At 38.4% G+C, this 14,601-nt stretch overlaps 1 long non-coding RNA gene across 1 annotated transcript in view; it reads right to left on the bottom strand.

Moving 5' to 3' along the window:
- Positions 1-13,616, bottom strand: part of LINC00609 (long intergenic non-protein coding RNA 609) — a 94,862-nt gene extending 81,246 nt beyond the window's left edge. Inside the window, exon 1 of the long non-coding RNA NR_073454.1 lies at positions 13,358-13,616. This is a non-coding gene — a long non-coding RNA (long intergenic non-protein coding RNA 609). The remainder of the gene's footprint in view (positions 1-13,357) is intronic.
- Between the last annotated feature and the right edge of the window lie 985 nt (positions 13,617-14,601).

Below are 14,601 nucleotides of genomic sequence, written 5' to 3'. Positions count from 1 at the left end.
CAATAGCAAAGACATGGACTCAACCTAGCTGCCCATCAACAGTGGATTGGATAAAGAACACGTGGTACGTATACATCATGGAATACTATGCAACCACGAAAGGAATGAAATCATGTCCTTTGTAGCAACATGGATGCAGCTGGAGGCCATTATCCCAAGCAAATTAACAGAGGAACAGAAGACCAAATACCACATGTTCTCACTTACAGAAACATGGCAACAATACATACTGGGAACTACTGGGTGGGGAGGGAAGAAAGGGGACAAGCGTTGAAAAACTAACTGTTGGGCAGTGTGCTTACTACCTGGGTGACAGGATCAACTGTACCCCAAACCTCAGCATAATGCAATGTACCCAGTTAACAAACCTGCACATGTATCCCCTGAATCTAAAATAAAGATTGAAATTATTGGAAGGAAGGAAGGAAGGAAGGAAAGAAGGAAGGAAGGAAGGAAGGAAGGGAGGGAGGGAGGGAGGGATGCAGGGAAGGAGGGAGGGAATTTTTAGAATAGATTGCTATGTTGCAATTAAAATTATGTTTATGAAGAGTGGGAAAAAAAAAAAAAGAAATAGAACTTTGCCTGCCAGTACTGGAGCTCCTCCATGTGCCCCTTCCCAATTTCAATCCTCTCCCAGAACCTGACTGTTGAATGCTGTCAGAATTCTCCCATATTGTGCCAAAATGGCCAGGAGTTTATATCTCACCTCATTCCGTCATTGCATGTGGGCTGCCCTGGGAATGTATGATCCCAGGTAAGGCAGCTCTATGCAGCTGAGACAGCTCCTGAAGTAGCTAATAAGTCCTTGCATCTAGGCAGCAAGTCTTCCCTGGGTGGCCATCTCCATCCCTCACACACCACGTCACCTACTTTTGTTATAAATACTGTCTACTGCAACTTTATTTGAAACCACACTGAATCTACATAGATAAATTTGGAAGAATTTATATCTTTACAATATTTAGTTTTCCAGGCCAGGCACAGTGGCTCACGCCTATAATCCTAGCACTTTGGGAGGCCAAGGTGTGTGGATCACTTGAGATCTGGAATTCGAGACCAGCCTGACTAACATGGTGAAACCCCGTCTCTACCAAACATACAAAATTTTGCTGGGTGTGGTAGCAGGCGCCTCTGTAATCCTAGCTACTTGGGAGGCTGAGGCTCGAGAATCATTTGAACCTGGGGGGCAGAGGTTGCAGTGAGCTGAGACTGAGCCACTGCACTCCAGCCTAGGTGACAGAGCAAGACTCTCTGACTCACCAAAAAAAAAAAAAAAAAGTTTTCCAATACGTAAAAATGACATGTCTCTTCACTTATTTAGTTTTACAGTTTTTATAAAGTTTTATAGAGAAGTCTTACACATCTTTTGCTAGATTTTTCTCCTAGTTATTTAATGTTTTTGATGATATTGTGATATTTTTAAAATTTTATTTTCGAATTGTTTACTGCTGTTTTATATTGACATCATGCGTAAGATCCTTTCTAGATTCACTCATTAATTCTTAGCTTTTCTGCAGATTTGTTTGGATTTTCTACACACATAATCATGCCACCTGCAAATAACAAAAGATTTATGTTTATTTATTTTTAATTTTTATAACTTTTATTTCTTTTATTTGCCTTTTTCTCTGTCTAGGATTCCCAGAAAGTGTTGAATAGCAGTGATGAAAAGCAGGCTGTCTCATTCCTGATGTCAAAGAGAAAGCTTTCAGTATTTCACCAATATGTATGAAGCTGCTATAGGGTTTTGTTTTTTTGAGATGGAGTCTTGCTCTATCACCCAGGCTGGAGTGCAGTGGCGCAATCTCAGCTGACTGCAGCCCCCACCTCCCAAGTTCAAGTGATTCTCCTGCCTCAGCCTCCTGAGTAGCTGGGACCATAGGCATGCGCCACCACACCCAGCTAATTTTTTGTTTTCTGAAGACATATATTTTCAGATTAAAGAAGTTACCTCTATTCCTAAGTTTTCTTAATAATCATTGGATCTTGTCAAGTGTTTGTTCTGTATCTTCTAAGATAATCATATTTTTTCTTTATTCTTTCATGTTATAAGTTACCTTAATATTAAAGCAACTTTGGTGTAAAAGTAACTTGATTGAGATATATGTATATTGTTTTATAAATCAATAGATTTAATTTGCAAATGTTTTATTTAGAATTTTTGCATCTTAGTTCACAGAAAGATTGAGTATACTTTCTTACAATGTCTTTGTTACGTTTGGGTATGAAGGTTATGTTGGCCTTATAAAACACGTTAAGCAGAATTACTCTTTTTCTACTCTCTGGGATAATTTAAGAATGATGCTTTTTTAAATGAAGGTTTGAGCATCTAGGCTTAGCGATTTCCATTTGGGAAGATATTCAACTTATTTTAATGGTTATAAGACTACTCAGATTTTCCATATCTTGTTGTATTATTCTTGCTAAGCTTTTATTTTCTAGCACTTTGTCCATTTTATCTACCTCTTCAAAATTATTCACATAAAGTTCTTTGTAATATCCTCCTATTTTCTTACTAATTTTGTAGAATCTGCAGTGATGTCCCCTTTTTCATTTCTGATAGTAGTAATTTTGTGCCTTCACTCTTTTTCTTTCCCCAATCAGTCTTGCTAGAAGCTTATCAATTTGTTAATCTTTCCAAATAACCAAATTTGGCATTTTTTATTCTATTGTATGTTTGTTTTTTACTCCTTTAATTTCTGTTTTCATCTTCATTTTTTCCTTTTTTTTTTTTTTACATTCTCTGGGCCCAATTTTCTGTAGCATTTCTAATTTCTTTAAAATGACACTTTGATCATGACTTTTTCAGTGAAATAATATAAGCATTTTAAGGCTAAAAATTTTCCTTTCTGCATGGTTTTAGTTATATTCTACAATAAGTTGTGCTGTATCGTATTTTCATTATCATTCAGCTGAAAATATTTTCTAGTTTTCATTGTACTGTCCTCTTTGACCTTTGTGTAATTAGTAGTGTATTTCCAAACCTTTGGGCATTTTATTGTTATTGCTCTGTTGTTATTTAGCTTAACTGCACTGAGGCCTAAGAACATATCTGTACAATTTTTATCTTGTAAAATGTGTCAAGAAATGCTATATGGTTCTGCATATGTGCAATATTGATGATGTTCCATGCTCTGCAGTTGCTGGTTACAGTATTCTATCTGTGGATAACATTGATTTTGTTAGTTTCATTAATCATATTAATAAATCTTCTATATACTTAGAGTTTTGTGAGGTTCATCTTTTAGTTCTGTCAATTACTGATGGACTTGTTTTGGAGTTTCTCACTATAATTTTGGAGTTTCTCACTATGATTCCATTTCTCATTTAGTTCTAAAAAATTTGCTTTCTGTATTTGAAACCTAGGTTATTAGATGCACACAATTTTGTAATTGCTTTATTTTGGGGTTCTTTGACCATTTATCATTTTAAAATGTCTTTTTTTCATTTATAGTAATGTTTGTTTTTGGTCGATATCAGAATAACTCCTTTTGCTTAGGTTTTCTATGGTATTTCTTCTAACTTTTTTTGGGGGGGGTGGGGGATGGAATCTCGCTCTGTTGCCCAGGCTGGAGTGCAATGGTGTGATCTCGGCTCACTGCAACCTCCACCTCCTGGGTTCAAGCAATTCTCCTGCCTCAGCCTCCCAAATAGCTGGGATTACAGGCGTGTGCCACTATGCCTGGCTAATTTTTGTATTTTTAGTAGAGACGGGGTTTCACCATGCTGGCCAGGATGGTCTTGATCTCTTGACCTCGTGATCTGCCTGCCTCAGCCTCCCAAAGTGCTGGGATTACAGGCGTGAGCCACCACACCCAGCCTTCTTTTAACTTTCAATCCTCCTTTGTATTTACATTCAAGATGTATCTCTTCTAAGTATAATATAATTGGGCAGAATTCATTTTTAATATGGTTTGGTAACTTTTCTTTTTAAATTGGATATTTAGTCTATTAATATTGAATGTACTTACAGATAAATTTGGGCTTATATTTACCAACTTGTTTGTTTTCCTGTTTTACTTAACCGTTTCTTCAACTTGTTTTATGTTACTTTTTCTCTTCTTCTTGTCTTTAATGAATTACATATATTGTTGTTCCGTTTTCCCCTCTATTAGCTTGTTAATTATATATTATTTTACTATTCTTTTAGTTGTTACCCTCCTTGACAGCATGCATTCTTGATTTTTTTAGAGTAGAAACTAATTCTTTTATTACTCCCCAGACAATGTTATGTCCTTAGCATACTTTAACTCCATTTAACCCACCACCACCTTTTTAATTATTATTTTCATTGTACATACATTTTAAACCTTATGAGCCCTTTTTTTGTTTATATAGCAAACATTCATTTATATTTGTTCCATTTCCCTCTTCAATCACTCTTCATTTATTCCTATGCTTCTGTGTTTCTGTCTGGAATCATTTTGCTTTTACCTAAAGACCTTCCTCTGGTACTTTATTTTTAGTAAAGCCTGTTTGTGAACAATTCTCCCGGTTTTTGTCTGGAAATATCTTCATTCCACCTTCTCTTTGAAGGATACTTTTGCTGAGTAAAGAATTCTAGGTTGGCAGTTCCTTTCTTCCAGTTCTCCTGGAGATTCTGAAGGCTACCTAAAACTTTAGCTGATTTTAGGCAGAAAGGAATTTATTAAAATGTGTTTTGTTGTCTGCAACTAGGAACTTTGATGACTATAGGGTTGAAAATCACTAGTCAGGCGTCCCATTCAATAATAATTGATGAGTTAATAATAATAATTATGAATTGTAATTACACTTTTATCACATACAAATGTCTTATACATACTAAACTCTGCTTCTGGGTTTCGTATTACATTTTACTTATTATTCTTGCTATGGAAACAAGCTGTTATTTATTTTTAATTTATAATACATTAAATATCTAATAATATACTCTCACTTCACTGCTTTTCTTTTTCAAAATTTTGCTTATATATTCCCATCCATTTCTTCTTTCAGGTAATCTTAAGAATTATTCTACAAAGTTTCTATATAAATGTTATTAGGATTTTGATACAAAAGTAACATATTTATAAATTAATTTACACTCAATTTACAATATGTCTTTACTCCAGGAACATGTTGGCTTCTGAATTATAGAAGTTGCATGTCTCTGAGAAGACTTGTGTGTGTGTGTGTGTGTGTGTGTGTGTGTGTGTGTGTAGCCTGTATATTGCATCTTATTTTTTTTTATAAGTACAGAAGCTTTTGTAGATATAAATGAAGTAGTTTTCAAAATGTTTGCTAACTGGTTGTCATACAGGAAAGTCACCATGCAGAACTCTCTAGCTATAATCATTTTTCCGTAATCCTTTTGGCTTTTCAAGACACACAATTCTATAATCAGAAAATAAGGACAATTTTACCTTAATTTCCCAAGATTCGTGCTTCTTTTTAAACTAAACTAGTCACAACTTAAAGGAAAATGTTAAATAAATATTGTGAAATATGGTATAATCCTACAATGGAATATTATTCGGCCATAAAAATAATGAAGTACTGATAAATACTACAATCATGGATGAACCTTGCAAACATTAAGTGAAGGAAGCCAGTCACAAAAAAACAAATATTGTATGATTGCATTTATACTTAAGTCCAGAATAAAGAAATCTATGGAGACAGAAAATAGATTAATGGTTGCTTAAGGGTGAGGTAGAGGGAGGAATGTGGTGGGGAAGGGATATGGGATGGAAGGTACAAAGCTTCTTTTTGAGGTGATGTAACTGTCTAAAATTGATTGTGGTTGCACATTATCCATGAATGTATGGTATGTGAACTAGATATCAATACAGCTCAAAAAAATAAGAGTTGTCTACAGAATGAGAGGAAATTTTTGCAAACTATGCATCTGACAAAAGCCTACTATCCAGCATCTATAAGGACCTTAAACAAATTTACAAGAAAAAAACAACCCTATTAAAAAGTGGGCAAAGGACATGAGCAGACACTTTTCAAAAGAAGATACACATGTAGCCAACAAGCATATGAAAAAAAGCTCAACATCACTGATCATTAGAGAAATGCAAATCAAAACCACAATGAGATAGTATTTCACAACAGTCCAAATGGCTATTACTAAAAAGTCAAAAAATAACAGGTGCTGGCGAGGTTGCAGAGAAAAGGGAACATTTATACACTATTGGTGGGAGTGTAAATTAGTTCAACCATTGTGGAGATAGTGTAGCTACTCCTTAAAGACCTAAAAACAGAACTACCATTTGACCCAGCAATCCCATTACTGGGTATATACCCAAAGGAATATAAATCATTGTATCATAAAGACACATGCACTTGTACGTTCGTTGCAGCACTATTCACAATAGCAAAGACATAGAATCAACTTAAGTGCCCGTCAATGGTAGACTGGATAAAGAAAATGTGGTACATTTACTGGATAAAGAAAATGTGGCTGCAAGAATACTATGCAACCATAAAAAAGAATGAGATCATGTCCTTTACAAGAACATGGATGCAGCTGGAAGGCATTATCCTTAGCAAAATAATGCAGGAACAGAAAACCAAATACTGCATGTTCTCACTTATAAGAGCTAAATAATGAGAACACAGGGACATATAGATGGGGCCTCCTGGAGGGTGGAGAGTGGGAGGAGGGAGAGGATCACTAATGGGTACCAGGCTTAATACCTGAGTGATGAAATAATCTGTACAACAAACCCCCATGACATGAGTTTACCTATGTAACAAACCCGCACATGTACCCCTGAACTTAAAAAAATAAAAAAAAAGAGTTGTGATAACCCTTTCACTTGTCCCCGACTTTTAAAAAGCTAGAATTTCAGTTATGTACAGTTTTGGTTATAGGTTTTATGTAGCCAATCATTTTGCTCTAAGGCCTCATTCATGACATTTTGTGCTTTGATATTTAAGGAGACAGGGACACCGAAAACTGAATCTTCCAGCTACTCTTCTGGCTGGCTTCCAGTATGTTCTGCCAATGGAAGGCACTGGGAGAAGACTGGAAGACTGGAGGATGGAAGAAGCCATCCTCTTCCTATTTCTGGTTTCTGATGGTATATCTGATAGCGGCAGCAGCCTCAAGGACAGTCTAAACTTGATGCAGCGGCAACAGTAATACCAAAAGCAGCGATAGCCAACAGCAGCAGCAACAGTGGGATGGCAGCTGAAGTTCCTGGATTCTGTCCAGCAGCTGACTCTTAAAGCAGGAGCCTCTGCAGCATGATGCCCCTGACTGCTGGAAACCTGTGCCTAGAATACTAGTTGTTTACAGCAGTTACTGTTTTCAGTAAACTTGTCTTCCTCCAGTCCTAGTTCAGATCCCCCAAAAAGCAGAGCCTGATATAGGGACATTAGTACAGTAATCTACTTGAAAGGTAATCCCAGGAAACTGAAGTGAGGGAGTGGAGAGATGAAACAGAGACAGAGGAAAAGACAATAAAGGGTACATTGATGAGCTGATGACTACTGAGGGCAACTGGGGCTCCATTCCCCTTGGGGACCTTCAAAGGAATTGTGTACCATGCACACTGGAATGCCTCCTTATTGAGTTTTAACCCCAGTGGCTGATAGTTCTCTTTGGGGACACTAACTCATCCACACTCCTGGGCTGCTCCTGCACGCAGGCTGACCAAGCTCCCAGGGATTGGGGAAGTCTGAGGCAGAAGAAATGACAGACTGGCTGTGGTTAAGTCAGAACCCACTCTGGCCCCATGGGATGTGGGCAGGGCACTAAGGCATCTTTGTATGGAAGTTTTACATGTTGTTTTCTTTGAGCATCAGAGTGATTATAAAATGCATTGTGAAGCTTTGAAATATTTAAAATAGTATCTCCTTCATTGAAGTTTTAAGGAATTGGCTTGTAAAACTATGAATCCAGTGCTTTTCTGGAGGTAGATCTTTGATGACTTTTTACATTTCAAGATGGGCCTCCTTTTACTGCATTTAAATCAATTACAGAAACAGGATGTGATTAGTTGGAACCAGAATAATTGACCACATAACCAGAGGCTGTAAAAACTGCAGTTATTTTTGCATCAACCTAATAAAAAGAAATCACAAAGCAAAATTTTCAACTGGGGTTAGCTGCAGGCAGACATAGATCATAGACATAGATTTGGCTTTTAAATGTGCTCATCTCTATCAAGCAAAAGAATACGGAAAGAGTACCCAGAGATCCTGCCCACCAAAAAGGCCATAAAGAATACCAAATTTCTCAGTTTATAATATTCACTAAGGATAACTGAATTAGTCACGCTTGCTATTTCTGATATAGCACATCAGGGCATATAGCATATTCTCTATATGAATAAATAGAGAAATATACCTGAGGAAAGAGACAGCAAAGGTAGAGGGATCCCTGGGGCACAAACAGAAGATACTTACAGTTAGAGAAAGTTCATTTTTTTTTTCTCATTTAAAAAAACAACTTATTTAAGATTTTGCATGAGATGTTTTGACTTTCCCTTCAGCGCAGAACCATTTTTCCCTCAAATGATTTACCTAACAGACATGAAGAACTGCTATCAAGCCTTTACCCACGCAGTTATAACCGTGAGAAAATTATTTTACATCAGCTGCTGACAACTAGTCCCCCTCTCAGGGGCACATAATGAGAGAACTGTCAGGCAGATGAGTGTCCAGCGCGGAAATATTTAATTAATGAGCTCTTGTCTTGCCTCTAGGTAATTCTTCACAGTCCTAAGGATAGAGAGCGAGCACCCTCTGATCAATCCAGGGAATTAAAAAAACACACACAGTCACTGCTGAAAGAATTTCAGTTTTCATTTTTTAAAAAAATCCAAGTTACCTATAAAATTTCACGGACTTATTTTTTTTAACATGCTTAAATTTTTAAAGGAGGAGACTGCCATATGACCTAGACTTAGCATTTCATATTTTAGATCTTAGGTCTTTAAAAAATATATATAAGAGAAAGCTACTATGAATTCATTCCTTTTATTCATACTTTTAATAACTGTAATTTGGTCATTTAAACAGCACTTCCATAGATTAGAAAACAGTAGCACAATACGTGCGAGGTATTTATTCAGTGCATTCACAGGGTCTGTTGTGTGTTCTAGAGCCACAGATCCCTGTAATCTATTTCCACGGTCCCCAATTTTGGAACCACCCCATACTTCAGACTGGAACAATGCCAGGCTGCTCTGGAATCCTGCTTTGTTGTATCAAGGCCTTTTGACTCTTTCTTGGAGAATCTTAGCCTCTGAGCTTGCAGCACGTTCCCTTTAAGAATAACGTGTAGCATCTTATTCCTAGAAAGAGCCTCTTCCCTCTGATAGACTCTACTAATGCTGTTCTACAACAAAAGAGTGGGGCTTCAGGGCGGGCCGGGGAAGCAGAAACTGAGACGGTGAGGTGGGGGTGCAGAGTGGAATTCAGGGAGGTGTCAGACTAAAAGCCGGATCTCTGGGCTTCTAATGCAATGCTCCCACCTTTAAACTAAGTAAGCAAAGAAAGCATTAAAAGAGTGACTGGGCCTAAGCGTCTCCAGGATTTTTCCATCACCATTATTCCCCTTGTCCACCAATCCACAAGCACAAAAATTTATTCCACTCCTGGTGAGATTAATAGAGTATTTTATTTTTTTATTTGCGCAAATTTGTGGGGTAGATCAGACATCTTGTTACACATAATGGGTAGTGAGTGACTCAGGGTATTTAGGGTGTCCGTCACCTGAGTACTATACATGTTTGTTAAGTATAATCATCCTACTCTGCTATCAAACATTGAATTTATTCCTTCTCTCTTACTGTATGTTTGTGCCTTTTAGCCCACTTCTCTTCATAACAGCATATTTTAAAGATAGAATACACCATAGTTGTAACTCCTGGAAACTGACTCTGGCTTCTTCTGGTATATTTTTAGCATGTTTAAGTAAAACCAAATTGTAATATCACTCTCGACTTCATCTAATATTCTAGAATTCCTAAAGATTAAAGGTATCCATTTTTGTAATATTAATCAGTTATCTACTTAATACATTTAGAATAATATAAGATAGTCCTATTTAAGTAAAGGCTAGGGATATTAAAATTAATTTTATAGGAGAACATTCTGAAGATTATTCTAAAAAAATGAAGATGATCACCTGACATCACAATGAATTAACCCTGTGTAAAAATATTGGGGGAAAATGGAAGTTTATAACTTATTTTAAAAAAAGGTAAGAGAACATTGTATCTTTTAAAGCATTAATGAAAGCCTCCTTAGCAAAATTATATGCCTAAAGAATGCAGGCATATAACTCACAACACAAAAATACTGTAGATCCTGTACCTACTACAAATGGCATCCAGGTGACCAAGGCTGGCGTTCCCAGAATGTCACTGTGGCTGGTGTCTGTTTTGACTGGTCAGCATCCATGCCATGCTAATTATTAAATATTTTAATATTATTCTTGCAAGTCTCCCTAAAATAACCTCAGTATCTGTTCTGTTCCCAATGGTCTTTAGCAAGAGTTGCAAAGCGCCCTCCTGTTACAGTAAAGAATTCTCCTTTATATCAAATCTAAATTACTTCCGTATTAGGCAGAACCCTTTTAATTGCAAGTAACAGAAACTATACAAATTAGCTTAAGCATAAAGGGACTTTATTGGCTTGTGTTCCTGGATAGAGCTGGCCTCCAGAACTCAAAGCACATCATCCAGTCATCCTTGTTCTCTCTCCCCCTTCTCCTTTCCTCTTTCTGCAGCTCTCAGTGAATTGGCTTCCTTGCCTCCTCCTGAAGCCAGGCTTCTCCTAGGTATATGAGTTGGGAGCAGGAGAACCAAATTCCAGATAAGAATCATATCTAGTCAAATCTGGATCACATGACAACCACTCCTATGCAGAAGGTAGAAGGAATGTGATGTGGAAGGTACTGTCTCTGGCAACCCCACACCCAAGCAGGATGAGGAAGGTAAGGAGTCCTGCCACTCCCAGCAGGCCGCACACCAGCAGCATTAGTAGCTGGTTAGAAATGCAGAATCTGGAGCTGCATCCCAGACCCACCAAATCAGAATCCAGAGTTCAACAAGATCCCCAGCGGATTCCATGCACCTTATAAATGGAGAAGGTTTTTCTCCTAGGAAACATGCCGTGAAGGACGACATCATCACAGAAAGGGGAAGGAGAAAAACAACAGATGTTCACTCACACACAACTGTGATATCACACAACTTCCTTTTGCTTAGTCTTCAGTAAAAATGATGAACTAATTATTGTTCTAAGTATCACAAACATCACTACCCATTTTAAAAAACAGGCCAGGTGCAGTGGTTCACCCCTGTAATCCCAGCACTTTGGGAGGCTGAGGCAGGCAGAAAACTTGAGGCCAGGAGTTTGAGACCAGCCTGGCCAACATGATGAAAACCCATCTCTACTAAAAATACAAAAATTAGCCGGGTATGGTGACACACGCCTATAGTCTCAGCTACTCAGAGGTTGAGACATGAGAATCACTTGAATCTGGGAGGCAGATGTTGCAGTGAGCTGAGATCATGCCACTGCACTCCAGCCTGGGAGACAGAGTGAGACTCTGTCTCAAAAACAAACAAACAAAACATCTGTAGGTCTCCCTACAGTTTCCTGTTCTTTATAATTCCTATTCTCCTTTATCAAGGCCAGTAGCTAACTTAGCTATTTTTAGTCTCACTTTTTATTTTAGAAATTATTTGCTATATAATGGCCAGGCACAGTGGCTCACACCTGTAATCCCAGCACTTTGGGAGGCCAAGGCAGGTGGATCACTTGAGGCCAGGAGTTCAAGACCAGCCTGGCCAACATAGCGAAACCCCGTCTCTACTAAAAATACAAAAATTAGCCAGGCATGGTGGCATGCACCTGTGGTCCCAGCTACTCAGGAGGCTGAGGCATGAGAATCGCTTGAACCCAGGAGGTGGAGGCTGAAGTGAGCCAAGATCGTGCCACTGCACTCTAGCCTAGGTGATGGAGTGAGACGCTGTCTCAAAAAATAAAAAGAGAGAGAGAGAGGGAAAGAAAGAAATTATTTGCTATATAAGGATTGTTGTTAGGAGGAAATCAACACTATAACTGTTTGTTTCTGTCTTTGACTCTGGTTAAATTACTGTACGTCCCGCCAGCATACCTGATTTCTATTGATAGGGGTAGCACAGCCTCGTAGTTATGAGCATGGATCAGAAGCTAGGGGCTGGTTTAAATCTTGATCTGCCACTTACTAGCTATGTTTCTTACCTCTCTGAACCTTGGTTTCCTCATCTGTAAAAGGGGCTCATCATAGTTGTGAGGAGAATTAAGTGAACTAATATTTGTGCCTGGTATGCAGTAACCACTATGTATGTTTTTGAAATAAATAAATGTTGTTGGAGTGAAACCCCCCAACACATCTCTAATGCCGCCTTGTGACTAGTGGATTAAGTGAGCACTTTGAAAATATGTATTACTTGAGTGATTAAATTGCCAAGCTTCCCCATTTCATTTACATCTTATTTCCATTTCTAGTGAATCATTCCTTCTAAGCACAAGGTTGTGAAAGGAAATCTTGAACACTAATAATAGCATTACAAGCTACTATAACCAGGGCTTACTTACATGATTATCACCAAAGCTCCAATAAATTTCTCAATTTAAATATTAAAAATCAGTCAATGATCTGTTAGCTGGAAAATATCTGGGGTGAAAGAGTGATTACCACTAAAAAATAGATTGAAGTCATTGCTGCTTTTAGAGCCTAGAAAAATACAAAGATCTGTTATTCTAGGTAAGTTACTTACTCTCTCTGCCTCCTTTATGGGCTGCTGGAAGGATTAAATGATTAGTGTGTGAGAAATGCTTAGAACAATGCCTGGCTCAAAGTAAGTAATCAATAAATGCCAGTTCTTATTATCACAGGTATTCTGAATACAGGTTGTGGCGATCAGGAGCTTTGATGACCATGGCAGGTGGCAATGCCCCAAAGTGCAGAAGACGTCAATTCCTCTTCCATATCCCCAGTCAACACACACATTCCCCTCCACAACCAAGAGAAGTGGGCATTAAAGAAAGGAAGGGCAAGAGGAACGACAATTCTAAAAGATCACCAAGGTGTATAGTCTGAATTATTTGGACTAGTTCTGCTGTGATCTTAGCCAATTGACCCTCTGCCCTAATTTCCCCACCTGAAAAAAAAGAAGGCCAATTTATTAAGGGTTTCTGATGCGTGGGTGAAAGAGGCTGTTAACACTCGAAAGTATTATAGATTAACAATCTTTCTAACCATTTTAAATATTAGCAAATGTTCCAGCTCACAAAGTGCCATGGTTTTAGTGGCCTGGAAAACGCTGCAATTTGTTCAAACATCAGTGGGTGTTATTTCTGGATGTTAATCAGTACCATTTACCTTGAGAACCTGGAAAATGTGTGGACTGTGCAAGTCCGCCATCTGCTGGTCCTGGAGACTCTGCGCCGCAGGGCAGAGATGCTTGTCCAATGCGGCCGGCACAGGAGCTCCTTGGAGAGCAGCAAACCAGCCAAAGCTGTTCCCACCACCTCAGGTCCTGATGCTGAATTATCACAGTGAACATGTTGCTTTCCCAAAGGGAGGTGATTTGTTTGAGAGGGTATGTGTGTGGTCTTTAAATAGTTTTGTTCTTTGTGCTTACATTATCATCTAGGAAGAAAAGATAATTTATTGCATCTCAGAAATGAAGCGACTCTGAGATAGCATCTATTTCAAATGCCTCATTTTACACAAAAGAAAAAATGTGGCCCAAGAGTCAGACAACTTTCCCAAGTTACTCAGCCAGTAGTGGCAGGACAGTATCCCCAAGGCTCATGCCTGGACACTTACTCTCGCTACCTTGGAGAAGGTGAAGGAGGGCAGAGGAATCTGCCAAAACAAAGAAAACTTCCCAGCCAGTGTCCTGGGTCACTGTATACGTCTTACTGACATGGCACTTTAGCCATAGTTTGCAAAGAGCTTTAACTTCTCTTCTTATATCCATATAAAAACTTTCACCTCTGATTGTAGCCAAAAGCCAAAGCCCTTTTATGCCCTATTGCACTTATGAAAGGGGAAAAATGCAAGTAAGGATACTTTATCTTGTGATTATTTTCACTTCCTGAAAAGCCAAAGATCTAGCAGTTTAATCACAAAGTCTGTCCTGTCATTCAGCAGCAGATGCCAGCCTCTTGCCCGGCAGCCACCAGAATAGAAGAACCCTACAGGTCAGAAAGTCTACACTCTTATTTCTCCACCAGAGAGAGGTCTCTCTTAGTTTATACAGGCCAACTATTTTTTTTTAATTGGTCTTAGTCCAATAATGACATATTTGCCTGGGTCACCTGCCAGCCAACCAGGAGCGCTCATTCAGCTGGGGTGTGGATACAGAGAAATTCTAGTGCCATCCAACAGAGGGCAGTAGTGCACAGACACATAACCACCCTGCTCAGCTCTCTCCTATCAGAAAAAAGGGGGTGGGGGACACAGGTGCATATTCTTACTGCTCTGACTCTGTCCTGAGAGTGGAGCCAAACATTTTTCAGATGCCAAAATCAATCTTAAAAGTCAATGATCTGACAAGGACAAATATTAATCGCTAATTCCTGTTTCCCCCCACTTCATGACGCTCAGCTTCATACTCT

This window comes from Homo sapiens, chromosome 14, assembly GCF_000001405.40.
Source record: "Homo sapiens chromosome 14, GRCh38.p14 Primary Assembly".
Taxonomy (NCBI): Eukaryota; Metazoa; Chordata; class Mammalia; order Primates; family Hominidae; genus Homo; species Homo sapiens.
Note: the sequence above shows the minus strand (reverse complement) of the source record. Positions and strands in the feature narration are given on the sequence as shown.